We start from the raw sequence: 26,022 nt of genomic DNA on the forward strand, positions 1-26,022 counted from the left end.
TCTCAAAAATAGTAACAATGAACAAAAATTAAAAAGGAGAGAACAGTAAAATGCAGGAGAGGAAATCATCAAGAAAATCATTCAAAAAAACTGCCTAGAACAGAAAGACAGAAGTTGCTAGAATGAAAGAGTCTAGCAAGTAGGCATCACAGGGGATGAAAATATATCTACACAAGGCTAAAGAAAGAGAACAGCCAAGTGTACTGTGGATATATCTGTTCTCTTCCTTTGGCCTTGTGTAGATATATTTCAGAGTTAAATTTCTGGATACGAAAAACAAAGATTCAAGATTCCTAGCAGGGCATGGTGGCTCATGCCAGTAATCCCAGCACTTTGGGAGGCTGAGGTGAGTGGATCACTTGAGGTCAGCAGTTCGAGACCAGCCTGGCCAAAATGGCAAAACCCCATCTCTACTAAAAATAGAAAAACTAGCCAGGCGTGGTGGCAGGCCCCTGCAATCCCACCTACTCGGGAGGCTGAGGCAGGAGAAACACTTGAACCCAGGAGGCAGAGGCTGCAGTAAGCCAAAATTGTGCCACTGCACTCCAGCTTGGCCAACAGAGTGAGATTCCATCTCAAAAAAAGAAAAGAAAAAAAAAAGATTCCAGAGACAGAAAAGCAAAAAATAAAGAATAAAACAAGTCACATACAAAGAATCAGGAATTGGAAGAGCTCTGGACTTCACAAAAGCAATACTGGAAGCAAAAAAACAATTCAACACTGCCAATAAAATACTGAAGGAAAAACTTCCAATCCAGCCAAACTATGAATAGAATAAAGATATTTGCAAAAATAAATACAGATATTTAAATGCAGCCAATCTCTAAAAATTCCATCTCATGCACTTGTTCTTTAGAAGCTACTAGAGAATGTGCTCCACCAAAATGAAAGTATGGGGGTGGGGAGGAACCTGAGATGCCAAAAACAAAGAAATCCAAGAACTACATTAAAGGAGATCCCTAGAATGGGATCTCCCTAGGAAAATAGCTGTGCAACAGATATAGAGGGAAACCAGTCCAGACTACAGCAGTGTTATTTCCAAAGAAAGTCATACTGCAGGCTATTATCATTAAGCTACCTGCTACCGCCTCTCTGTAGTCTTTGAATGCCTGAGTGACCCAGACTGGATTTTAAAATCTGTATTTATCTTGTTTCAACTATGTGTCAATGAAATTCCAGCTCTCCCTTCCATGTCTTATGTGCCACTACCTAGATCAGCTAATGACATCATTTTATCCAGCAGAAACATTCTGACCTACTTGTGAAAAATAGGGGTAAATCACCATAAGCCTAGAATGAGAATATATATAGAGTAGTCTGCTACTACGACTGAGCACACTCCCACATAACATCCACTGCGAATGTGTCACATATTCTTTTTATTTTATTTTTTTTAAGATGGAGTTTCGCTGTTGCTACCCAGGCTAGAGTGCAATGGTGTGATCTTGACTCACTGCAACCTCTGCCTCCTGGGTTCAAGCGATTCTCCTGCCTCAGCCTCCCAAGTAGCTGGGATTACAGGCACCCACCACCACACCCGGCAAAGTTTTTGTATTTTTTTTTTTAGTAGAGACAGGGTTTCACCATGTTGGCCAGGCTGGTCTCAAACTCCTGACCTCAGGTAATCTGCCCGCCTTGGCCTCCAAAAGTGCTGGGATTACAGGAGTGAGCTACTATGCCCAGCCAAATGTGTCAGATATTCTAACTGTAGTGGACCCCTAGGTTTATCAGAACTGGCTTATGACCTGTCCAACTGAATTCTCTAGAGGGGCTTTTGTAAACTCTCAGAGAAGCTAAATCTGAAATCAGAGTATGACTTAGAATCTCTATTCAGGTAACATTCTCAGAAAGCCTTCATCTGAGCCTTCTTATAAAACTAGGCTTATGCTTGTTACTCAATTTTTAAAAAACTAAAAAACAGGCTGGGTGCAGTGGCTCATGCCTATAATCCTAACACTTTGGAAGGCTGAGGCAGATGGATTGGATTGCTTGAGTCCAGGAGTTTGAGACAAGCCTGGGCAACAGGGTGAAACCCCATCTCTACAAAAACTACAAAAAATAGCCTGGCATGGTGGCACACACCTGTAGTTCCAGCTACTTAGGAGGCTGAGATGGAAAGGTCGCTTGAGCCCAGGAGGTCACTTGAGTCGTGATAGCACCACTGCACTCCAGCCTGGGTGACAGAGCGAGACTCTGCCTCAAAAACAAAAACAAAACAAAAAAACACCCTAAAAAAATGAAGTAAAATAAAAATTACTTAGGAATATAAATATAGATAATTCAATTCTGAAGAAAAGTAAAGCAAGGATTACACAAAAGTCCAGACTATAATTACTTCTGGGAGGAGACATACTACGAAGTAAAATAAAAATTACTTAGGAATATAAATATAGATAATTCAATTCTGAAGAAAAGTAAAGCAAGGATTACACAAAAGTCCAGACTATAATTACTTCTGGGAGGAGACATACTACATGTTTTAAGTAAATAGTATTTGATTGCTACTGTGGAGACATACTAGTATCCATATTATTACTGTTCTTTAAACTATACATGTATTTTCCATGCACTATTTGCATGTAGGATACATGGGAAAATTTTTTAAAAATCAATTTAAAAATATTGCCCTAATTAGTACAGTGGTGAGTAAATAAAAATATAGTACAGCATTTGGTTTATAAAATAATGAGTTAATATAAACACACATCTACAATAAGAAACAAAAACTAGCTTCTATTAACATTCAAAATAAGTAAAAATGAAACCTCTTTTAAGTTATGAGAAATGATAAGATATTTTTATGGAGATCCATTCTTTTATCTCATAGATATGTCCCCTTCCCTGCCAGTCAGATTTAATAAATCTCTGCTCCAATCCTCATTGCTTTTATTACCTATACTTCATTTTGCCTTAAATACTAAGCAATAATCCCATCATAAAAGAGGTCATGTCAGGCCAGGCGCGGTGGCTCACGCCTGTAATCCCAGCACTTTGGGAGGCCAAGGTGGGCGGATCATAAGGTCAGGAGATCCAGACCATGGTGAAACCCCATCTGTACTAAAAATACAGAAAATTAGCCAGGCGCAGTGGCGGGCGCCTGTAGTCCCAGCTACTCAGGAAGCTGAGACAGGAGAACAGTGTGAACCCGGGAGGTGGAGCTTGCAAGTGAGCTGAGATTGCGCCACTGCACTCCAGCCTGGGTGACAGAGCGAGACTCCGTCTCAAAAAAAAAAAAAAAGCAGTCAGTCCAGGTGCAGTGGCTCCTGCCTGTAATCCTAGCACTCGGGAGGCTAAGACAGGCCAATTGCTTGAGCCTAGGAGCTCGAGACGAGCCTGGTCAACAGGGCAAAACCCCGTCTCTAGAAACAATATAAATATTAGCCGGGCATGGTGGCATGCGCCTGCAGCTCCAGCTCCTTGGGAGGCTGAGGTGTGAGGATCTTTAGAGTCTGGGAGGTTGAGGCTGAAGTGAGCTGAGATTGCACCACTGTACTCCAACCTAGGCTACAGAGTGAGACCCTGTCTCAAAGAAACAGAGATCATAATAGTCATAATCAGGACAAACAAAGTTTGGTGTTCTTTACAACAACTTGTCAGTATACTTTTATGGTCTGATGTTGTATAACACAAACTATGCATTACATTGCAACAGAAAGGATGGCACAGAAAAGATTAAAAAACTAAAGTAACAATGCTAAAAGTTGAATATTAAATGTTAACCAAAATTTTATGGTGCCCTTGGATCTACTAGTAATAAAAAATTTGAGGCCTCAATCAATGGCTGATTTTATTTCAAGTACAGGTTGAACATCCCAAATCCAAAATCTGAAGACTCCAAAATCATACACTTTTTGAGTGCTGACGTGATTCTGAAAGGTAACGCTCACTGGAGCATTTCAGATTTAGAATTTTCGGATTTGGCTTGTGGAATGCAAATATTCCAAAATCAAAAAAAAATCTGAAATCCAAAACATTTCTGGTTCCAAGAATTTCAGTTAAGAGATATTCAACCTGTAATAAGAGAGCAAACAAAACTCTGGTAGAAAAAACAGTAGTTGGTAATGTCACTGAATTACCTTTATAGAACTTGACTCATAAATTAAAATCAAATACTTGCACAACAGAACGATTGTTATGTTTACCTTGAAGTCCATTAAGGATCGAAGTAATTTCTATGGACTTAATATGAGCAGTATCAGAGTTTTTGGCATCAGTGAGATCCAGTTTGGATACCATTTCAGGAGATGGATTTGTCTGAAATGGTGGTTTGGACAAGCGCCGAAGTTTACAGTTTTTTGGAGAGTATTTTTCATCTTTGTCTTTTTCTTTGTCTAATTTATTCTAGGTTAAGAAAAAAAGTATGTCGTAATTTATCATAAGGCATTTATCAGAAACAATGTTAATGTCCACTTTTAACTCACTATTACAGAATATGTTGTTAAATATTTAACATAAAAAGAAAGAACATAAGAAGCCCCTCAAAACAGCCAGATTTTTAAAGCTACTTAACAAAATACTACACAGGATGATCAAAAGGTTTTGTATTTATACTTTAATAACGGGAATCAAATTAGCAATCAGATAGGTGATTAGGACTAGCAAACCTACAACTTGCTCTTCAGAATTAAAATCACAATACGTTTAAATTAAATACTAACTAAAAAAAGAGGCCAGGTGAGGTGGCTCACACCTGTAATCCCAGCACTTTGGGAGGCCGCGGCAGGTGGATCACCTGAGGTCAGGAGGTCAAGACCAGCCTGACCAACATGGAGAAACCCCGTCTCTACTAAAAATACAAAAGTAGCCGGGGTGGTGGCGCATGCCTGTAATCCCAGCTACTCGGGAGGCTGAGGCAGGAGAATCGCTTGAACCTGGGAGATGGAGGTTGCGGTGAGCCAAGATCGCGCCATTGCACTCCAGCCTGGGCAACAAGAGTGAAACTCCGTCTCAAAAAAACAAGAAAAAAAAGAAACGATTGCAACGTGGTCATTTTAAAATCTCACTATATGTGGGTTGGGAATGACAAAATTCCAGGTACTTTTGTAAAGTCAAGTCAGGGGCAACCTTCCTACCTCAGTGATATATTAATGTTTTGAGAAAAGATGAGAAATTTTCTCAAATTATTTGTTTACAAATAGATAAGCAAAGGCCGATATATTTCCTGGAAACTACTCTTAAAAATTTTGTTGATTTATAGGAAAAATAAGCTCTCTGAAGCATGAGTTAGCAGTAAGCACTATAAATTTTGAGTGAGAGTAATTCTCCTAAGGATGGTACATATCTAGTATCATTCCAGATGCATAGAAGATGCTAATCAAACATTTAGGAAAATTTAGTCTTAGAATGAATAATTCTATCATACATAAAAGTAACATTAATTTTCCATATGAGCTCCTAAGTAAATCCTCATGGCATTTTCGTGGTTAATAGGATCCTGTGGGGCTGGGCGTGGTGGCTCACACCTATAATCCCGGCATTTTGGGAGGCCAAGGCGGGCGGATCACCTGAGGTCAGAAGTTCGAGACCAGCCTGGCCAACATGGTGAAACCCCATCTCTACTAAAAATACAAAAATTAGCCAGGTGTGGTGGTGTGTGCCTGTAATCCCAGCTACTCGGGAGGCTGAGGCATGAGAATCGCTTGAACTGGGAGGTGGAGGTTGCAGTGAGCCGAGGTTGCACCACTGTACTCCAGCCTGGGCAACAGAGCGAGACTCTGTCTCCAAAAAAAAAAAAAAATCTTGTGAATATATTCTAAGCCACTGACTATAATCAGATAAAGAAGAAGAGAAAAAGGAGTTGCCAGATAGCCTTTTCTTCCTTGGAATGGTTTACAGCTACAATAATAACCTATGTCTCTCCAAGTCACACTGCCTTATGGCTCCTGGTTGGGAACTAGAGGGGAAGGAAATGGCAGAAATAGATAAATAAAATCTGGTTGAATGGCTTTATATAATGTTGGGACTGAAAAAGTCTCAAAGATCATCCAGTACTGTTTCTAAAATGCTTTCCCTAACCTGACAAAATTAATTATATACAAATCTAGCATTTGAAAAATGTGCTATTTCAATAAAGTGTAACACTAACACATATTTAATTGCATCATTTGGAGGAAAACTTCTTTTTAAGAGCTAATAGTGTGTAGTAAAAACAAGCACTTACCTTTATTTTCTTCCGATGTTTTATCTTTGGCACATTTTTATCAGCAGGTCTTACTATTTTATCTGCTTTAATCCATTCATCGTATCTAAAATTAAAGGAAATTAATATAAATATGTACAATATATACCACGGAAATAACCTATGCCATATTAAAGAGAAACTCATATAGAATCTTGACATTTTAGAAGGGAAAGGACCTTGGAAATCATCTCAGCTTCCTGGTTTGAAGAGCAAGCTACCAAGGCACAAAGAGAGGGAGGTAATAACTTGCCCATGGACTTAAAGTTAGCTACTGGCCGAGCCAAGACTAGAGAGCATGATCTCATGATTCCTCAACTAGCACTGCTTACTCGGCTACAACAAAGAGAAACTGAATCTGTACAGTAAGTATTAAGATAAATCACAGTATTTTCTACATTTTGTTTTACTTTGTTTCATTCTTAAGCAGCAGGTAGGCAATTTTTCTCTAGACACATCAGAGAGCTAAGGTAATAGCTTCAGTTTTAAATGGCATTGTGTAATAGAAAAGCACCGTATTACAGCCAGGCACAGTGGCTCACACCAGTAATCCTAGCACTTTTGGGAGACCAAGGCGGGCAGATCACGAAGTCAGGAGATCAAGACCATCAACGCTAACACGGTGAAACCCCATCTCTACTAAAAATACAAAAAATTAGCCAGACGTGGTGGTGGGGGCCTGTAGCCCCAGCTACTCAGGAGGCTGAGGCAGAAGAATCGTGTGAACCCAGGAGCGGAGCTTGCAGTGAGCTGAGATCGCGCCACTGCACTCCAGCCTGGGCGACAGAGCGAGACTCTGTTTCACAAAAAAAAAAAAAAAAAAGAAATAAGAAAAGAAAAGCACCATATTGTAACGTATGGATAATGCAAAATCAACTAGAAAAAAAAAATGCTTGCTCATAAAATACCAGAAAAACATTACTCTGCAAAGTTTTTCAGTATTCTGAAATGCTCCCTACATGTACAGACAGCTGAGTCAACAGCTGTGATGGCCTCTTGATTCAATGCTGATGGTCTTCACAATTTCATAGGGTGCAAATTACTATTAACTGCAATAAAACTATTTGTTTAAAGCAAAAAAAAAAGAATGACAGTTTATTCGTTCTTCATTCATTCAAGAATTATAACAGCTAGAAGAAGTAAACATTAAAAACTAATTGACATTCTCTTTTTGTGTTCAAAGTTATATACATTACTCATAGAAAACACAAAACTCTAGAACATGGACACCTGAAAACGAGCTTTTAAATTAAAATGTCCTCATTGTTAGAGGTATTAAAAGGAAGTAACAAAGTCCCCAAATCAAGAAGTAAATGACTTGAGTCATTACTTGACTAATAAATTATATTCTTACTCTAGCATAGGCCTGGAAAGTATCTGTAGCAAACTCCTGGGCAGTTACTCTGCTGGTACAAACTACTGGCTTGTAGCCAGTAAAAGCCAGAAAAGCTGAGGATTCATCCCCATGCAAGGGGTTCTGTTTATATGCTGGAAGATGCTGAGGGCCGTAATAAGAATAAGAGGGAATGGAATGAGCTTTAGGACAGACTTAACATAATCCCTGCTTCCTAGTTATGTGGTCCTGATCAACTCATTCTCAATCTAAGGCTTAGTTTATTTCTGTATAAAATAAGACTACAATTTAAAAACAAAATAAAAAATAATGGTACATACCATATATGGGTTTTTTTGTAGAAATATATGGTAAGTACTGGTGTAAGTACAAATATATGGTAAGTACTTTGAAAAGCTTTAAAGTAAGTATTCTTCTACTAAATACACTCCTTTTGGTACTTCTACCTGGCACTGTAGCATCTATCCATATATTTGCAGCAGTACTTTTACCTTTCCTATTAATATCGAAAATTGTATAATGCTTAGGAAAGCAATTTACTTCCTTCCAAAATCGGGGGCATGGTGGGAAACGAAAAGAAAACACCTCCATCCTCTGTAGATTTCAGTATGAACTCCTAGAAGTTGCTCTATTAGAAGAGTTATGGAAAGAAGAAGTCAAGATATCAACTTTGTTTTTAAAAGAAAACAAAACAAGCTTTCTAATTTTTTATGAGAGAAACTGAAGTCAGTTCATGATGGCTGCACATAACATTAATGTGAGCTAAACAAAGTTATAATCATGTTCTACCTTTCTTAACCAAAGGCTATCTGTTCTGTAGCTAGTTTTATACCAGACATGTTTTACTATCAATAAAAAACTGACTCAATTCAACCTGGGTTTTATTATCAATTATATTTTGAAGTAGGGTAAAATAGTAGTTTTCAATTTAAGAATACATGCATGATATTGCACATTTGTATATTTTACATGCAACACCAAACACATCAAACAAGGAAAAACAGTTACTGCCTCATGGGTAAGGCCACTGTGATAAAGGAAGATTCCTTTATTACTCAGATATAATGTATGTTGTTTAAATTCTCTTAAGAACAAGGTGGCAAGAACATACACATAAATAATAAAATGATGGATGCTTGGTATGGTACAGGCTGGGGCCCACTGCCTAAGCTCTGTAAATCCTATATGGTAATCATGTTCTCTTCTACTCAATTATAAAAGAAGGATGGTACAAGAGGACTGGATGTCAGAAAAATGTTAAGTAGTTGAGTTTAGATGTCAAAAGTGTGTTGGAGCAGGCAGGACACACACACAAAAATAAATTCTTAAATTAGATGAAACAAACTACATACATAGTTGTAATTAACAGTATGGCCTTACTATTCTGGAAAATTTTTGTTTTAAAATTCTCATGGGGCCGGGCGCAGTGGCTAACGCCTGTAATCCCAGCACTTTGGAAGGCTGAGGTGGACAGATCACCTGAGGTCAGGAGTTCGAGACCAGCCTGGCCAATATGGTGAAACCCTGTCTCTACAAAAACACAAAAATTAGCCAGGCATGATGGCGCATGCCTGTAATCCTAGCTACTCGGGAGGCTGAGGCTGGAGAATCGCTTCAACCCGGGAGGCGGAGGTTGCAGTGAGCCGAGATCGCGCCATTGCACTCCAGCCTGGGTGACAGAACAAGACTCCGTCTCAAAAAACAAAACAAAAAAAATTCTCATGGAATACTCTGTATGGTTTTAAGAAATTCCCTGAAAACTTACTATAGAGTAATAATGTAATCTAACAGCAAACATAATGTATAATAATATTACATTATATTTATAGATCTAACTTAACAGATCTATAAATATTAGCTAATATTATGACTCTTCTGTTATTTGGCTTCTTTCTATTCTACTTTCTCAGTGCTTTTATTTGTTTAATTCAGGCCCTTGTTTTGACACTAAGTTTTTGCATTTTTTTTTACCTTGCCAATTATGCTCTTTGTATAAAACACAGTTACACAATATTGTTACTGTTATCAAAACTAATAACTTTTAGAACTAGAGCATATCTTAAAAATTTATCAGGGCCTTTATTTCACAAGTTAAGAAATTCCAACAATGAAAGTGAAAGACAGTGCTTGCCAAAAAGCACTCCTGTGGAGAATTAGAGAAGAGAAGGAAATGGACTGCCCGGGAAAAGATTCTAACACGAAAATAACGGTAGGGGGCATTCCAGGCCCTATTCAGAGTAAGTTTAGTGAAGAGTGAGAGACCAGTGGCGTGAAGAGGAAGAAAAGGAGAAAATAACATGTGAGAATTTTGGTTGGGGAAGCTTTTTCGAATTACAAATGTCCTTACCAAATACAAGCTGAGATCACTGACACAAACATATTGGCAGACAAGTATTTCAAAACCTAATGAGACGTTAAATAGCACTTTAGTTGTCTGATAGATCTTACAAGAAAAATAAAGATGGTCAGAAGATTAAATAACTATAACTGATCATTGCTTTTAAAAATAAGAAATGTTCCTTCCGTATATGTAATTACCCATTACAATACTACCCAAGTGTTCCTTCTATTTTCTCTACAGGATATTTTCAAAGAATAGGGAAAAAAAAAAAAAAAAGCAAATTCATGTGGGGAGGCCGGGCACGGTGGCTCACACCTGTAATCCCAGAACTATGGGAGGCCCAGACAGGCAGATCACCCGAGGCCAGGAGTTCGAGACCAGCCTGGCCAACGTGGTGAAACTCCGTCTCTAACAAAAAGATAAAAATTAGGCCGGGCGCAGTGGCTCATGCCTGTAATCCCAGCACTTTGGGAGGCCGAGGCAGAGGTGGGCAGATCATGAGGTCAGGAGTTCGAGACCAGCCTGGCCAACATGGTGAAACCGTGTCTCTACTGAAAATACAAAAATCAGCCAGGCGTGGTAGCGGGCGCCTGTAGTCCTAGCTACTTGGGATGCTGAGGCAGGAGAAGAGCTTGAACCCGAGAGGCGGAGGTTGCAGTGAGCCGAGATCGCATGCCACGGTACCCTAGCCTGGGTGACAGAGCAAGACTCATCTCAAAAAAATAAAATTCATGCGGGGAAAAACTCTACATGAAAACCCCATATTTCCTACAGACATTAAAATTATATAAGAAAGAACGTCTTAGACTGGCATAATTACTGGTGCCAATTAATTTAAGAAAGCAATATTAGTGGGTCAAGATTTCTCATTCCTTACCAAAGAAGCACAGGCTTCAAAGAAGAATTTACTTCAGAACTACAACAAAAAGCTACAGTTAATCCTACTTCTTCTTTATAAATTTAGACTTTTAAAAATACAGTACATTTAGTATATATTAAAAAGAGACAACACCAAATTTACCTTAGACATAATAGATAAGAAAATAGTCAATGCAGATAGAAAATGGGAAATTTTAGCTCAAGTTCACATATCTTGAATTTCATAAAAAATTAAAATAGGCCAGGCCCGGTGGCTTATGCCTGTAATCCTAGCACTTTGGGAGGCCGAGGAGGGCGGATCACAAGATCAGGTGTTCAACACCAGCCTGGCCAACATAGTGAAACCCCGTCTCTAATAAAAATACAAAAAAAATTAGCTGGCTGTGGCGGCGGGCACCTGTAGTCCCAGATACTTGGGAGGCTGGGGTAGGAGAATCACTTGAACCCAGGAGGCAGAGGTGGCAGTGAGCCAAGATCGCACCACTGTGCTCCAGCCTGGGTGACACAGCGAGACTCTGTCTCCAAAAAAAATAAAATAAATAAAAATAAAGTAAAACAAAATAACTGGAAAGGAAGTGGCAAAGAGTGAAACTGCAGCTAAGAAATAGAAGGCCATAAAATATTTCTCAATTTCTCCTTGGGGTACCACGTCAAGTAAGATATCTATTCATCCCCGAAAGTACATTCTTAAGGAATACGAGAATCTTCTTTTTTTTTTTTTCTTCTTCATACAGAGTCTCTGTTGCTCAGACTGGAGTGCGGTAGCGCCATCCTGGCTCACTGCAGCCTTGACCTCCCAGTATCAATTGTCCCACCTCAGACTCCTGAACAGTTGGGACTCCAGGCATTCACCACCACACCTGGATAATTTTTTTATATTTTGTAGAGAGAGGGTGTCACTATGTTTCTCAGGCTGGTCTCAAACTCCTGGGCTCTAGTGATTCGCCCACCTTGGCCTCCCGAAGTGCTGGGATTATAGGTGTGAGCCACCGCATCTGGCGGAATACAATAATCTTAGTAAGTAAGTTAAATACAAACCTTTTGGTTTTAAAATGCTTCCAGACCAGCCTGGCTAACATGGCGAAACCCCATCTCTACTAAAAATACAAAAATCAGCTGGGCACGGTGGCGCATGTCTATAATCCCAGCTACTCAGGAGGCTGAGGCAGGAGAATCACTTGATCCCAGAAGGCAGAGGTTGCAGTGAGCCAAGACTGCACTACTGCACTCCAACCTGGGAAACAGAGCAAGACTCTGTCTCAAAAAAATATGTAAAATAAAATAAAATAAAATAAATTGTCTTGCAATTTTAGATTCAAGCAATACAGTTTTCTGAAAATGTGAAAATTCAGGTAGACTGGGTTGTTATTTTATATATATGTGTATATAATATATACATATATATACACAATATATACATATATATACAATCCAGGATAGTTTATCTATCCTGGCTTTAACTGGTCTTAACCTTTAGGAATTATGATTACAAATCATAATTGGCCTTTTCATAATAACAGGAAATAAATTAATTTTGCAGGGCACAAGGGAAACAGCATTACTAAATGCTTCCATTTAAAAAGAAATACTGAAATAAACAAAAAGTATTGAAACAAATATTAAAAACAAATATTGAGTTAGAAAATTAAGACAGTGATTAGCCTATACTTTTTCAATTCAGTTATCAATACAGTCAATGTAATTAATTCTACAGATGGAATCTAAACAAGTATCTTATTGAATATTTATCTAAAGTACTAAGGAAAATATTTCCAAGGTATATATATGACTTGTCTGATAATATTTCTATTGAGATCACTTAACATTCAACTAACAAAACATAAAATAACATATGCATGATAAACTCATTTAACTTCTGAAGATCTAGTATGTTCCCTGACCTACATAAAATGAAGTACAATGAAAAAAAAATTTTTTTTTTTTTGAGACGGAGTCTTGCTCTGTTGCCCTGGCTGGAGTGCAATGGTGCGATCTCAGCTCACTGCAACCTCCGCCTCTCAGGTTCAAGTGATTCTCCTGCCTCAGCCCCCTGAGTAGCTGGGATTACAGGTGTGTGCCACCACGTCCAGCTAATTTTTGTATTTTTAGTAGAGACTGGGTTTTGCCATGTTGGCCAGACTTGTCTTGAACTCCTGACCTTAGGTGATTTGCCTGCCTCAGCCTCCTGAAGTGCTGGGATTACAGGCGTGAGCCACCACACCTGGCCGTAGAATGAAAAATTATATGAGACTCCAAGACCATAAGTACACATGTGGACGTATTCATTTGACAAACACCTCTAAGGTATCTATTATGTAATAACAGAGTCTGCTAGGCACTGGGTACTCAGCAATGAATCAACAAACACAGCCCTTGCCTGCGAGGAGCTTACAATTCAACAAAAGAAGACAATACTAAACAGTAATGACAAATTGTGAATACAAACGTGAAACTTTCTGAAAGAAGCCACCACACAAATATTTGATTTTTCAAATGTTTAAAAATATTCATACAAGGCTAAAAGATACCATTCAGAGACCACAGCATACTTGCTCTCACCACAGAAAAATTGGATTTCTAAAAAGAAAACTTTATGGCTTTTGTACAGATGCATTGGCAAATTATGTAAGAAATCATTTTGTAATAATAAAAATGGAAAAGAACATTAGTCGACCAGATATACTACCAAAATGGTTAATATGCCCACATCAATTCAGCTTTTGGTTCTTCTTAAACCCAATTTTAAAAGAAATATTATCAGCATATAGTTAATATATACCTAAAAAGCACAGTCTTAAGAGATTTAAAAATAAACAGCATGCAGAATAAAGGTATTTTAAAAATAACTTCGTAAGTAAAATCAAATTAATATAAACTTGAAACCTCACTCTTTGAAATATGTATAGATAAGATAAAAATCTAATAACCAACCATTAAGTAAATGTTAAAATCATCTATATTTTGCTTTCTATAATGAATAGATTCATTTAATAATTGTTGCACAATATGTATTTTATATCTTGCCTCTCTATAATCAAAAAAGTTAATGTATGTCATATAATTAACTTACTTAGTTTTTAAGAACCTCACATCTAAAGTGGAAATTTGTACTGTCTTAGTATGGAAAGGGATTTCCCCACCTGAATTAAATAAATAAAAGTATGACAAAATAATAGAAAAAAACACCAAGTCAAGATAAAAAGCAGTGTTAATCATTATTAATTATAAACTTCATAAGCAATTTTATCAATATTTACCTACTTTATGAATTTTATATAATCTCAATTTATATGTATTTTAATCTGACTATCTAAAACAAGATATATGAAAATAACAACTGATCACAATTAATACTTTTAATCATGTATCTACAATAAAATGAAACAAAAAAGTAGTATATTATTCAAAAATAAAATTCCTGCCGGGTGCAGTGGCTCACATCTGTAAGACTAACATTTTGGGAGGCCAAGGCAGGCGGATCATGACGTCAGGATTTCAAGACCAGCCTGGCCAGCATGGTGAAACCTCATCTCTCCTAAAAATACAAAAATTAGCCGGGCATGGTGGCACACGCCTGTAGTCCCAGCTACTCGGGAGGCTGAGGCAGGAGAATTGCTTGAACCCAGAAGGCGGAGGTTGCAGTGAGCCAAGATCATGCCACTGCACTCTAGCCTGGGTGACGGAGCGAAACTCCGCTTCAAAATAAAATAAAATAAAATGAAATTCCTAAGTATGATATAAACATTTCATATTTCTACTTCATATAACACTTAAATCTACATCAGAGAGACAGCGATGGTATTCCTCACACTTAAGAATATAACAGCAGAATGACAGAACCATAAATATTATAGCATAGTCATATTTAAGAGTTGACATAAACAGCTCAACGGAATGGTATAGTAATTATATCAATAGGTTTTCCTAAGCAATGTAACGCTATAAAATGAAACGGAAGTATAGGTCTTTAGGCAGAGGTAATATGTAATAATAAGAACACTAATACAGCATTTTACCAAAGCGTACAAAGACAACTGCAAATGGTTAACTGTGCCATTAATTGCATATTGTAATGCAGATGCTAAGTTTTTTAAATTCCCCAAAAGTGTACTTTGTTAATATTTGATAAATGTATGGAATTAGTTATTTGTGCGTACTTAGACAAAAATATCAATGTACCTGCCAATCTACGAAACTACTGAATGAAACAGGTCCAAGTTTAGTAAACATTCTAAGATGAATACACAAAGAAAAATTAAAGCCCATTTGAGTACAACACATAACTGAATTATCATCTTTTTTTCATGAAGGAAATGTTTATGTTCATTTGTACTCAAAATCTATGGTTAACTCAAAAGCCACTCTCTTTTAATACAAACTTACAGATAATGGAAACCACTGTCAAATGGTCATTTTATAGGCCTCTGACTTCTGTACTATAGAAACAACGCAGACAACTTCCCAGGGTACCTTGCTTTCTATCATTACCAGGACAATTATTTCAAAGAAAATGAGTAGAACAACTTTGTACTCTATTTCAATATTCCTAAATCCAATGGCATACACAACTCAAGTACAGCAGGGATCAGATTACATGGAAATAAGAAAGAAAAAAAATGAAGGACACAAAACATTTTAGAGCAGGAAAGAACAAAGAAATTAAGCTGAAAAGTGACTTAAAAATTTTTTAAGGACAAAAGGAGACTAAGAATAGCTAAAAAGTAACAGAAAATTAATATTTCCAATCAAATTCATTCCAGTCTCTCAGTCTCGACTCCATTTTGTTTGCTAAGAGATGAGCTCTTTATGTAACCCAAAGAGGTCACATATATCATATACAAATATGAACTCAGATTAGAACAACAATGTAAACATTACAGCTAAAACTATAAAGTTCTTAGAAGAAAACATAAAGGAAAATTTTCAGAACACTGGATTTGGCAATGTTTCTTTGGAAATAACATCAAAAGCAGAGGCAACAAAAGAAACATTTGCAATCATGTATCTGATAAGGGAATAACATCTAGAATATATGAAGAACTATAATTCAACAACAACAAAACAACTGACCAATTCAAAAATGGCAAAAACTTGAAGGGACGTTCCTCTAAAGAAGATATACAAATGGCTAATAAGTACATGAAAAAATGTTCAACTCTACATTTCAAGTACATGAAAAAATGTTGCATTAGGAAAATGCAAATCAAAAAAGCACAATGAGATAAACAGAGAATAACAAGTGTTGACAAGGCTGCAGAGAACCTGGAACCCTAACACATTGCTGGTGAGAATGTAAAACGGTGTCGTCTCTGTGGAAAAGTTTGACAGTTCCTTAGAATGTGAAACACAGAGTTATATATAAATGAGGTGAGAAGCAGCTCCAGTGAGAGGGTCAAGCCATATCTGTCCCAATCCCCTATTATAGGTATCACTTTAAAAAACCAGTGGCTTTTATTTGGATTTTACCTTCTGCTCTACTTCCATTTTGTTGTCAGGAGGTCCAATTTAGTTCAACATTCATTTAGTACTTATCATATGCCAAATGAATACTTTTCTAGATGTGGTAAGGGATATTAGGAGAATAGATATGAAACAGAAATTTTTTTCATATTTTAAAATTAAGTTCACTTTTGTAATAATACATAACGTAGTCCTAATGTAGAAAGCTTGAACGATGAAGAAAAAAAGAAAAGGAGGGGGAGGAGAGTTGAAGGGAAAGAATTTACCCAGAGTCCTAGGTGAAAGTTATATTCCAGATCAAATTCCTTTGGCTCGGAAAAATAATTTAGAAAAATTCAATATCAGAATTGTGACTCAAGTTAGGATTGGAAAAATAGGAACAGAAACCAAAAAAATGTTAAATGGATATCAGAAAGAAATAGGGGAAAAATTAGAAGGGAGAAAACACATAAAGATGAGGAAGACAGAAAAGATAATTGAGGAGTGGTTTCTTAATTTTGAGAAAGGAAGAAAAGGAAAATAAACAAGAAAAATGGTTGTAGCTGGAGCAGCTGGAGCCCAAGCAAAGCATATCACGGAAGGAGTGATCAACTGACTGTAAAGCCACTGATAAGGTACGTAAGAGGGCAAGAAAAGCAGGAGGAATTTATCTACAAAGGGTCACTAGTGTTCCTGGTAAGCACAGTTGTGGAGACACAGTGAACAAAAGGCTGATGAGAGTGGATTTACACAGAAAAAGGAGAGAAACTGAGTAACAAGTGTAGGTAACTTTCAAACAGTTCTGCTGAATGAAAATGGAGCGAAGAAATGTCACAGTAGAAGTCAGGCTCCAGAAAAGATTTTCCTTGAGATGTGACAAATAACCACAGATCTGTAAGTAGTGGGAATGACTCAGAACAGAGCAAGAAAATGGGCCATGTCTTTGATCAGTCAAGAAGGGATGCTTATGAAGACTGGCTTCAGACAGTAGCATGACTGTATATCTATGGCTAAAGATGAAAACACAGAGAATGTGGCAGCAAACGCAGTTAGGTAGGCAGATCTTATGAAGTGTGTAGAAATGTTTTTCTTGTTTCTATCTCTCAGTAGGTACAAAGCAAGGTCACCAGCTGAAAATGAGGATAGGGAAGAGATGTTGGGGATGTGAAGACATAAGCAGCAGTATGAAATAGTCTTCTAAGAAAGTAGGAAAGTGAATGGAAGAAGGACATAGAGAATTAAGGACCCACTTGAGGTTCACAGTAATGAATTTAAAATAAGAACAGTCATTGTGGTTGCTTGCTTTACTCCAACCACGATCGGCTGCACAGGTGCAGGCAAGGAGCTGGAGGGTTAGATTTAATCAAGGTTCTTGTGGTTTTGTCAGATGAGTACTATAAAGCAAAAGGAGAGAAAAAGAACAGCTTGAGTCAAAAGAAGTGATTATAATAATAATGCCAGGGAATGTAAGCAATATCAAGGGAAGACTGAGTGCATTAACTGGGGTGAAGAGGTAAGGGGTGGTAGGATCAATACCTTAATAAAGAATTTATTATTATTATGAATTCCTTAATAAGGACCACTTCTTGGTATCTTTGGTGACAAGCACAGTATTTGGCACATAGTGGGTATTCAACTTATGTTTGGAAAATAAAGGAATAAAGTGTGATAAAAAGCAACTGAATGATGGCAAAAAATAGGATTGAGCCTACTCATTTGTGAAAGCCTTTTACCAGGTTTTTTCATCCCCTAACTCATTCCCTCCTAAGAGGATTTAATTTGTTTGGCGAAAATATTTTTTAAATGTAACACATTTTTAATTTCAAATAATATATTTAGCATAATTTAGCTTATTTTCAGTTCTCTGTAACTGTTAACATGCACTAGAACTGTTGTGGCTTATTTAAGAGTTTTACAACTGAAGTTTTACAGTGTCTCTTTTACTTTTGGGTTCCCATTAATGCAGCTGGTGATCTTCAACATACAAAAAATTATTCTCTAACTAAATTTGCAACTCTTTGATTACAGAAAGCCAAGTTGGAAATGAGCGAGAAAATTCAATCAGTATTGATACACTATTACAAAATATTGATGTATTTTAAATTCCATGCCAATTAGTCTAGATAGTTTCACTCAGTTGTTACTAAACAAAGAAATCCAACACACTCAACTAGTTTACGGCATGTTAATTTCAATGTGTACCCTTACTTTCAAAAATCAATCCCATATTTACGACACGACTTAGAAACTTGAGAGTGAAAGGGATCAATTAGATAATTATGCTAAGATTCTCTATAAAATATTAACATCACTAAGAAAAGTTAAATAGAGAGCCTACTATTAAAAACTACTTAAGCAGAACTAAATTTTTTTTAAATGTAGGGAGACATTTTAAAAGACTAAAAGAGAACACACTATAATATTAGTAATTTTATTATTATTTTTTTTCTATTTTTTTGAGATGGAGTTTCGCTCTTGTTGCCCAGGCTGGAGTGCAATGGCGCAATCTCGGCTCACCGCAACCTCCGTCTCCCAGGTTCGAGCGATTCTCCTGCCTCACCCTACCTAGTAGCTGGGATTATAGGCATGTGCCTCCATGCCTGGCTAATTTTGTGTTTTTTTTTAGTAGAGATGGGGTTTCTTCATGTTGGTCAGGCTGGTCTCGAACTGGTCTCGAACTCCCAACCTCAGGTGATCCGCCCACCTCGGCCTCCCAAAGTGCTGGGATTACAGGCGTGAGCCACCGTGCCCGGCCGGCCAGCAATAATTTTATCTTTCTACTTTTATGTATTTTTCTAAATTGTTATTTTTAGAAGAGTTTAAAAAATAATTTATGAGCATACTCCAAACATGCCTAGTGCTTGGTGACATAGTAAGTAATATAGTGCTAGACAATAGTTTTAGATACTGTCACTGCATCAGAAAAATTCTGTAAGAGTATTATAATATTTGTGGTTAAAGAGTTCAAGCCCTTTCCAGTAAATGTGGTGTGAACATGTTAAAATATGACTTTTTTTCATCACAACAGTAGAAAACAAACTTGCCCAAATGTTAACCTTTGTATAACAAAAATCAACATTTTCAGCTGTGAAATAGGGACATACATGAAAATTATATTAAAGATTTATACAGGTCGGGCGCAGTGGCTCACGCCTATAATCCCACCACTTACGGGGGCAGAGGTGGATCACCTGAGGTCAGGCGTTTGAGACCAGTCTGGTCAACATGGTGAAACCCCATCTCTACTAAAAATACAAAAATTTGCTGGGCATGGTGGCATGTGCCTACAATCCCAGCTACTTGGGAGGCTGAGACAGGGGAATCTTTTGAACCTGGGAGGCGGAGGTGACAGTGAGATGATATCACGGCGCTGCACTCCAGCCTAGACAACAAGAGCAAAACCTCATCTCAAAAACAAACAACAAACAAACAAACAGCATTTTAGTTAGAAAAAAAAGAAAAATGTAAAAATTAACAAGAAAATTGATTTTTTTGTTTTTTGTTTTGTTTTTTTTTTTTTGAGATGGAGTCTTGCTCTGTCACCCAGGCTGGAGTGCAATGGTGTGATCTTGGTTCACTGCAACCTCTGTGCCCCTGGATCAAGTCATTCTCATGCCTCAGCCTCCCAAGTAGATCGGATTACAGGCACCTGCCACCATGTCTGGCTAATTTTTGTATTTTTAGTAGAGATGAGGTTTCGCCATGTTGGCCAGGCTGGTTTCGAACTCCTGACCTCAGGTGATCTGCCCGCCTCGGCCTCCCAAAGTGCTGGGATTATGGGCATGAGCTACCCGTGCCTGGCCTAAAAACAGTATTTTTAAACAAAAAGACAGACACTCTTACATTATTTGAGAAAATCTCTTTACCGGAAAAACATGTTTCATGGCCAGGAGCATTGGTTCATGTCTATAATCCCAGCACTTTTGGAAGCCAAGGCAGGAGGACTGCTTGAGCCCAGGAGTTTGAAACCAGCTTGGGCAACATAGTGAGACCCCATCTCTACAAAAGATAAAAAATTAGCCAGGTGTGGTGATGCACACCTAGAGTCCCACCTATTCCAGAGGCTGAGGTGGGAGGATCACTCGAGCCCAAGAAGTCGAGGCTGGAGAGCCATGATTGCACCACTGCACTCCAGCCTGGGTGACAGAACAAGGTCCTGTCTGTCTCTCTCTTTTTTTTTAATCTGAAATACTTGTTTCAGATTAAAAAAACCATGGAAATAGGTCCACACAAATCTCCCAAACTGCTTGTCATGAATGACTACCACTGAAGATAAAACTATTTTCATGAACCTCCACGCATAAATCTTCATTTCCAATTTCACATCTGTTAAGTATAAATTTAGAGATCAAGCTGAAGACCCTAAAAATAAAAGAAAAATTGTCATACAGCTGATGAGGATTTGTTGCAGTCCTTATTAAATTAGCTTCAGAACTGGAGGAGCCGCAAAAATAAAAATTATTGCTTATTTATCAATAAGACAGACTGATTATTGCAGAAAGAAATAAAATAGTTATGTTAACTCTAAGAAGATTAACTGCTTAATCTACTGAAGTACATTTGTTTTCTCCATGATGTTGGAGTGTATAGAGATCCATCCTACAGGTCTTCATCAAGATGTTAAGTTTTCTTCTTTTGAAAGTTCATAGCATACAAGCACTTGAGTTCTCAGAAATAGATGGCAACGTTCACAGTAACACAAGCATGTCTTGTTGAACTAGGTCGCATTTTCCTCCCTATATTATTAAAAACTTGAATGCCTCAATTTAAATTCTTTCCTTTCCCTTCCTGCTATTTAAAAACTAAATTACTAGAGATTCTTTCTACCATCTAAAATCAAAATACTCCTGGAATTCTCTTTCTTTTAGTCAATCTTTTCTTAACAAAACAAAGCTATATCTTAATTGTAAAACAGTTTCATGAATGACTCAGTTCTTATATCTACTAAGCCTTTTTTGTTTAAAGAGCCAATTAATAGAAAATAAGCCTTGGCCGGGCACGGTGGCTCATGCCTGTAGTCCCAGCACTTTGGGAGGCTGAGGCAGGTGGATCACCTGAGGTCAGGAGTTTGAGACCAGCCTAACAAACATGGAGAAACCCCATCTCTACTAAAAATACAAAAATTAGCTGGGCGTGGTGGTGCGTGCCTATCTCAGCTACTCAGGAGACTGAGGCAGGAGAAGCGCTTGAACCCGGGAGGCGGAGGCTGCGGTGAGCCAAGATCCAGCCACTGCACTCCAGGCTGGGCATTAAGAGTGAAACTCCGTGGAAGGAAGGAGGGAAGGAGGGAAGGAAGAAGGGAAGGAAATGAGCCCTGATTATATACAGTGAAAGTTGGAGAACACCTAAATTCTATCCCTTTTTCATAGAATTTCAAATACTTCATAAAGGCCAAGAGGAAAAACTGCCTCTACATGTAAACTAGCAAAATAATCAGAAAAACTAAAAAGAGAGGCAAAAGGTGTTGTGACTCTATCTCATGGGCATTATGCAGTAATTATTCGTTTTTGCTAATCCAAGTATTTCTTAATTTAAGAGATGAGGTCTCATTCTGGCACTCAGGCTGGAGTACAGTGGCATGATCATAGTTCACTGCAGCCTCGAATTCCTGGGTTCAAGTGATCCTCCCACCTCAGTAGCTGGGACTACAGGCATGCAACACCACACCCAGCTTTTTTCTTCCTAATTTTAAACTAACATATTCTACATTTACATTTATATCCTAGGCAGAAGTAGAACTCCCTCTACATTTATATTCGGTAAGATAATTTAGTAAGATCAAAATGACTAGAAGTAAAAAATTGGGCAAAATATTCTTTTGGTAGCTATATCTGAGATCTCAAGTACCTTCTTTGGAATATATTCATTAATAGCCAGACCTTCAGGTGAGGAAAATCACATACCAGAAAGGCAGCATAAGAACCAACAGCTGACACCCGTAATCCCAGCACTTTGGGAGGCCAAGGCAGATCACCTGAGGTCAGGAGTTCAAGACAAACATGGCAAAACCCCATCTCTACTAAAAATACGAAAATTAGCCAGGCACAATGGTGGGCGCCTATAATCCTAGCTACTCAGGAGGCTGCAGCACAAGAATCGCTTGAGCCTGGGAGGTGGAAGTTGCAGTGAGTAGAGATCGTGCCACTACACTCCAGCCTGGGCAACAGAGCTAGACTCTATCTCCAAAAAAAGACAAAAACAAAAACAAAAAACAGAAAAAAAGAACCAACAGGTGAAAGGATAAATTGTGCAGTGTGTTAAAGTGGTATCTGGAAAAACTTATGTTTCTGGATGACTATCACATCTAAGCTCTGACGATAGGTATTCTTAAAATCTAAAACTGTATCCTGATTAGACATAATAAAGAATGAGACCAAAACAAAACTTCTGAACATCTCCTCATGACTTAAGTTGCTATTTGCTATTTGCTATTTTCTTCCAAGCATCAGAATGGATCGGACTGGTACTTTTCTCAAAATAAGAAAGGTAATCAGATTAGATCATGAGCTTCCTATTACACAACAGGACAACAAAAAATTTAAGAAACAGAATTTTGTATAGTATAATTTATTTAAAACACATGCATGTAAGAATACTATATATTTTCTATGAGTACATTTATATGTATGTGAAAGTAGAATGAAAAGTTAGTAAGGACAGCCTCAAAACTCTCAGAAGTGATTTTCTTTAGAGAAAGGGCATTGTGGGAAGTGATTAAAGAGAATCAAAATTTCATTTGCAACACTCAAACACAGAATTTGAGATGATGCCTTCCTATTAACTTCCCAAACCACAGAATATAATTTAAGTATAAAGCATGAGAACTGTATTCCTCCTTGAAGACACTAGGTACACCATGAAACCACAACTTAAACTTCTATGGTTAATCTTTCCAGGTATCTGTCTTATAGGCTACATTTCAAATATACTATCAAATATTCTAAAATAAATGATTCTTAAAAGATAACTGAATGAATAGATCCCAAAACTGGCTTGCCAATTTTGGATAAAATCAAAATACAAAATTTCTTTGGAAAGCCAAAGAAAATTTATCTAAGAAAAATGCTTAAGTCATTGAACATGACTTAAAACCAAATTTCACTCTTGCCTTTCAGTTCCCTAGGTTAGGAGCAGTCAAAAAGTGCATTCTATTTTAGTGAAGCAGGTCTGCTTACATGTTCAACCAGATTTTTTCAAAGATACTAATAAATTTCTGAGACTTCTGAATAAGGCTGTAATGCAATAGCTGTTAATAAGGAGATAAGGCTTTCTTAAAATAGCTAATGTTTCCTAGGATTTTAAATCCCTGACTACAGAAGGAAAGAAATGACTTCAGAATACAAAAAAGAGGTTACTGTGGCAATGTAGTTTAAAATGCAAGACAGCAAGCAGCCTGATAATTGGTTTGTAGATGTCCAGAAGTTCTGATCATTTCAACAATGTTTTGTCTGCTGATCTACATGTAGTACATAAAAATCAAGTGTGTAGACCTCGGTTTTCTAGACATTAGGGATATCTTCTAAGTAGTGAAAACATTAATTGTAAGTCACTAAGTGAGGTATTTACATGCTAAAAACTATTTTTTATAAGGTACTATGACCTCAATTAGAATACTAATAAATCTGTAATCCATTACTTAAGTTTTTAAATAGAAAAGTATTTTATAATTGTTTTTAGGTAATAATCACTAGCTAAAACTCAAGTTACCTCACATTCCATCCGCAGTAATGCACCAAGTAAAGGACCTCTCCACCTTCGACATCAGAATCTTTAATACTAGCTTCATACATTTTTTGATTTTTCCCTCGTCCATACCGCACTTGGACTTTCATGCCTGGTGGATAGCACTCAAACTCCTCTTCCTCATTGTTGTCATCATCATCTTCATCCTCTTCTTCTTCTTCCTCCTCCTCCTCCTCTTCTGCTTCTTCATCATCTTCATCTTCTTCTTTATTCGTTTCATCTCTTGAAAGGTTTAAAAAATTGCAGAGTTAATAAAAGACACTTCATAAGTTTTTCAGTTCCAAACCACATATATTGATAAAAGTTGTGGCTGTGATTGTTCCAGGAAAAGCAGGTTCCACGTGTATGAAATTCTCAGAGTTTCATTTTACTATTAAAAACTAAAACTGTAAGACAACCAAGGTTACAGAAAGACACATTTAGAGAAAATGAAGATTCAAAAATAAGTGCAGTAAAAGAAAATTTCCAAAAGTCAGAAGAACAGAATTTGTGCCGAACAGCAAGAAGCAAGTATGGTCAACTCTAACAATTTTTTCATGTTTTATTAATAAAAGTGTTTTAACATCTCAATTGACAAAAAAATTCATTATACTTCATTGCCATTTTACAACTAAAAATTATTTTTCATTCAAATATTTCCAGCCTCAAGATGTTTGTTTCATTTTTTTAGAGACAGAGTCTTGCTCTGTCACCCAAGCTGGAGGCCTCAGGAAGTTTGAAACAATAATTTTTACTAGCAGATGGCAGTCTTAATAACTTTAAAACATTCTCCAACCGAATTTTCAAATGTTATAATAACTGAAATACTATTTTAATTTAAACAGAAATATTCTAATAATGTACTACCAATATCTTATCATGTTTGTTCTTTCCTTTAAACTTCAACACAATTTCTACTCTCATTACCACAGATTTATTAACATCTTCTACAAATCTTCTCAACTTTGATGTTCCAAAGAAATAGACAGATGAGAGGCCAATTACAAGTATATGAAACTAAAAGTCAAACTATTCTAGAAAGAGTATTACATCCTTTTTTTTTTTTTTTTTTTTGATAGATTTTCACTCCTGTCGCCCAGGCTGGAGTGGTGCAATGGCGCAATCTCGGCTCACTGCAACCTCCGCCTCCCAGGTTCAAGCGATTCTCCTGCCTCAGCCTCCCAAGTAGCTGGGATTACAGGCACCCACCACCACACCCAGCTAATTTTTTTTGTATTTTTAGTAGTGACAGGGTTTCACCATGTTGGTCAGGCTGGTCTCAAACTCCTGACCTCAGGTGATCCACCCACCGTGGCCTCCCAAAGTGCTGGGATTACAGCCGTGAGCCACCACACCTGGCCTTACACCCATTTTTATCTTCTTAGTACCATGTACTTTCTAAAACTGAGCATTCATATCCTTTTTATATTGACCACCAATCTGTATTCAACAAGTTGGAGAAAATCTTCAATCATAAATCTTTCCAAACACTAGATTTATTTTTTAAAAAATTTCAATATGAAATCCAAGGCTACATTTAGTCTGGTTTTATTTGCTGTCCTGTATGTCTGTACTTAAAGACTCCATCACTTTAGGGCTCACAAATGACTAAACATCATAAGGCAGAACAACCAGATAGTTTAGTATTTAAGCTTTAAAAATTAATAATATGTAAAATACATGATATATTAAAATATATGCTATATTATATATTAAGAGTAATGATTATATATATACATATATTACACCATGCACACATATATATGTGTGTGTGTGTGTGTGTGTGTGTGTGTGTGTATATATTTTTCCCCCCCTTGGAGACATGGTCTCACTGTGTCATCCAGGTTGGAGTGAAGTGGCCTGATCACTGCTCACTGTGGTCTTGACTTCCTGTGCTCAAATGATCCTCCCACCTCAGCATCCCAAGTAGCTGGGACTACAGGCACACACCACCACACCCAGATAGTTTTTTATTTTTTATTTTTGTAGAGACAGGGGTCTCACTATGTTGTTTAGGCTGGTCTTGAACTCCCGGGCTCAAGCAATCTTCATACTTTGGCCTTCCAAAGTGCTGGGATTATAGGTGTGAGCCACTGTGCCCACCTGATG

General features: G+C 37.4%; 1 protein-coding gene and 1 non-coding gene across 12 annotated transcripts in view; both read right to left on the reverse strand.

Annotated features, from left to right (window-relative positions):
* Positions 1-26,022, reverse strand: part of ARID4B (AT-rich interaction domain 4B) — a 161,278-nt gene that overhangs the window by 22,969 nt on the left and 112,287 nt on the right. For 6 of the 11 annotated variants that reach the window (NR_135074.2, XM_011544212.4, NM_016374.6 and 3 more), the window contains 3 exons: positions 23,899-24,156; positions 6,161-6,245; positions 4,143-4,341 (listed from right to left, as the gene is read on the reverse strand). Coding sequence is in view for 10 of the 11 variants with exons in the window: in XM_011544212.4 (XP_011542514.1) it covers positions 4,143-4,341; positions 6,161-6,245; positions 23,899-24,156 (542 nt within the window). In the remaining variant the exon portion in view is untranslated. The remainder of the gene's footprint in view (positions 1-4,142; positions 4,342-6,160; positions 6,246-23,898; positions 24,157-26,022) is intronic. The other 5 variants (XM_024447626.2, NM_031371.4, XM_047422533.1 and 2 more) reach the window with 2 other exon arrangements.
* Positions 164-246, reverse strand: MIR4753 (microRNA 4753). The gene has a single exon (NR_039908.1). It is a non-coding gene; the product is annotated as a microRNA 4753 (primary transcript).

Source organism: Homo sapiens, chromosome 1 (genome assembly GCF_000001405.40).
Source record: "Homo sapiens chromosome 1, GRCh38.p14 Primary Assembly".
In the NCBI taxonomy this organism is placed as follows: domain Eukaryota; kingdom Metazoa; phylum Chordata; class Mammalia; order Primates; family Hominidae; genus Homo; species Homo sapiens.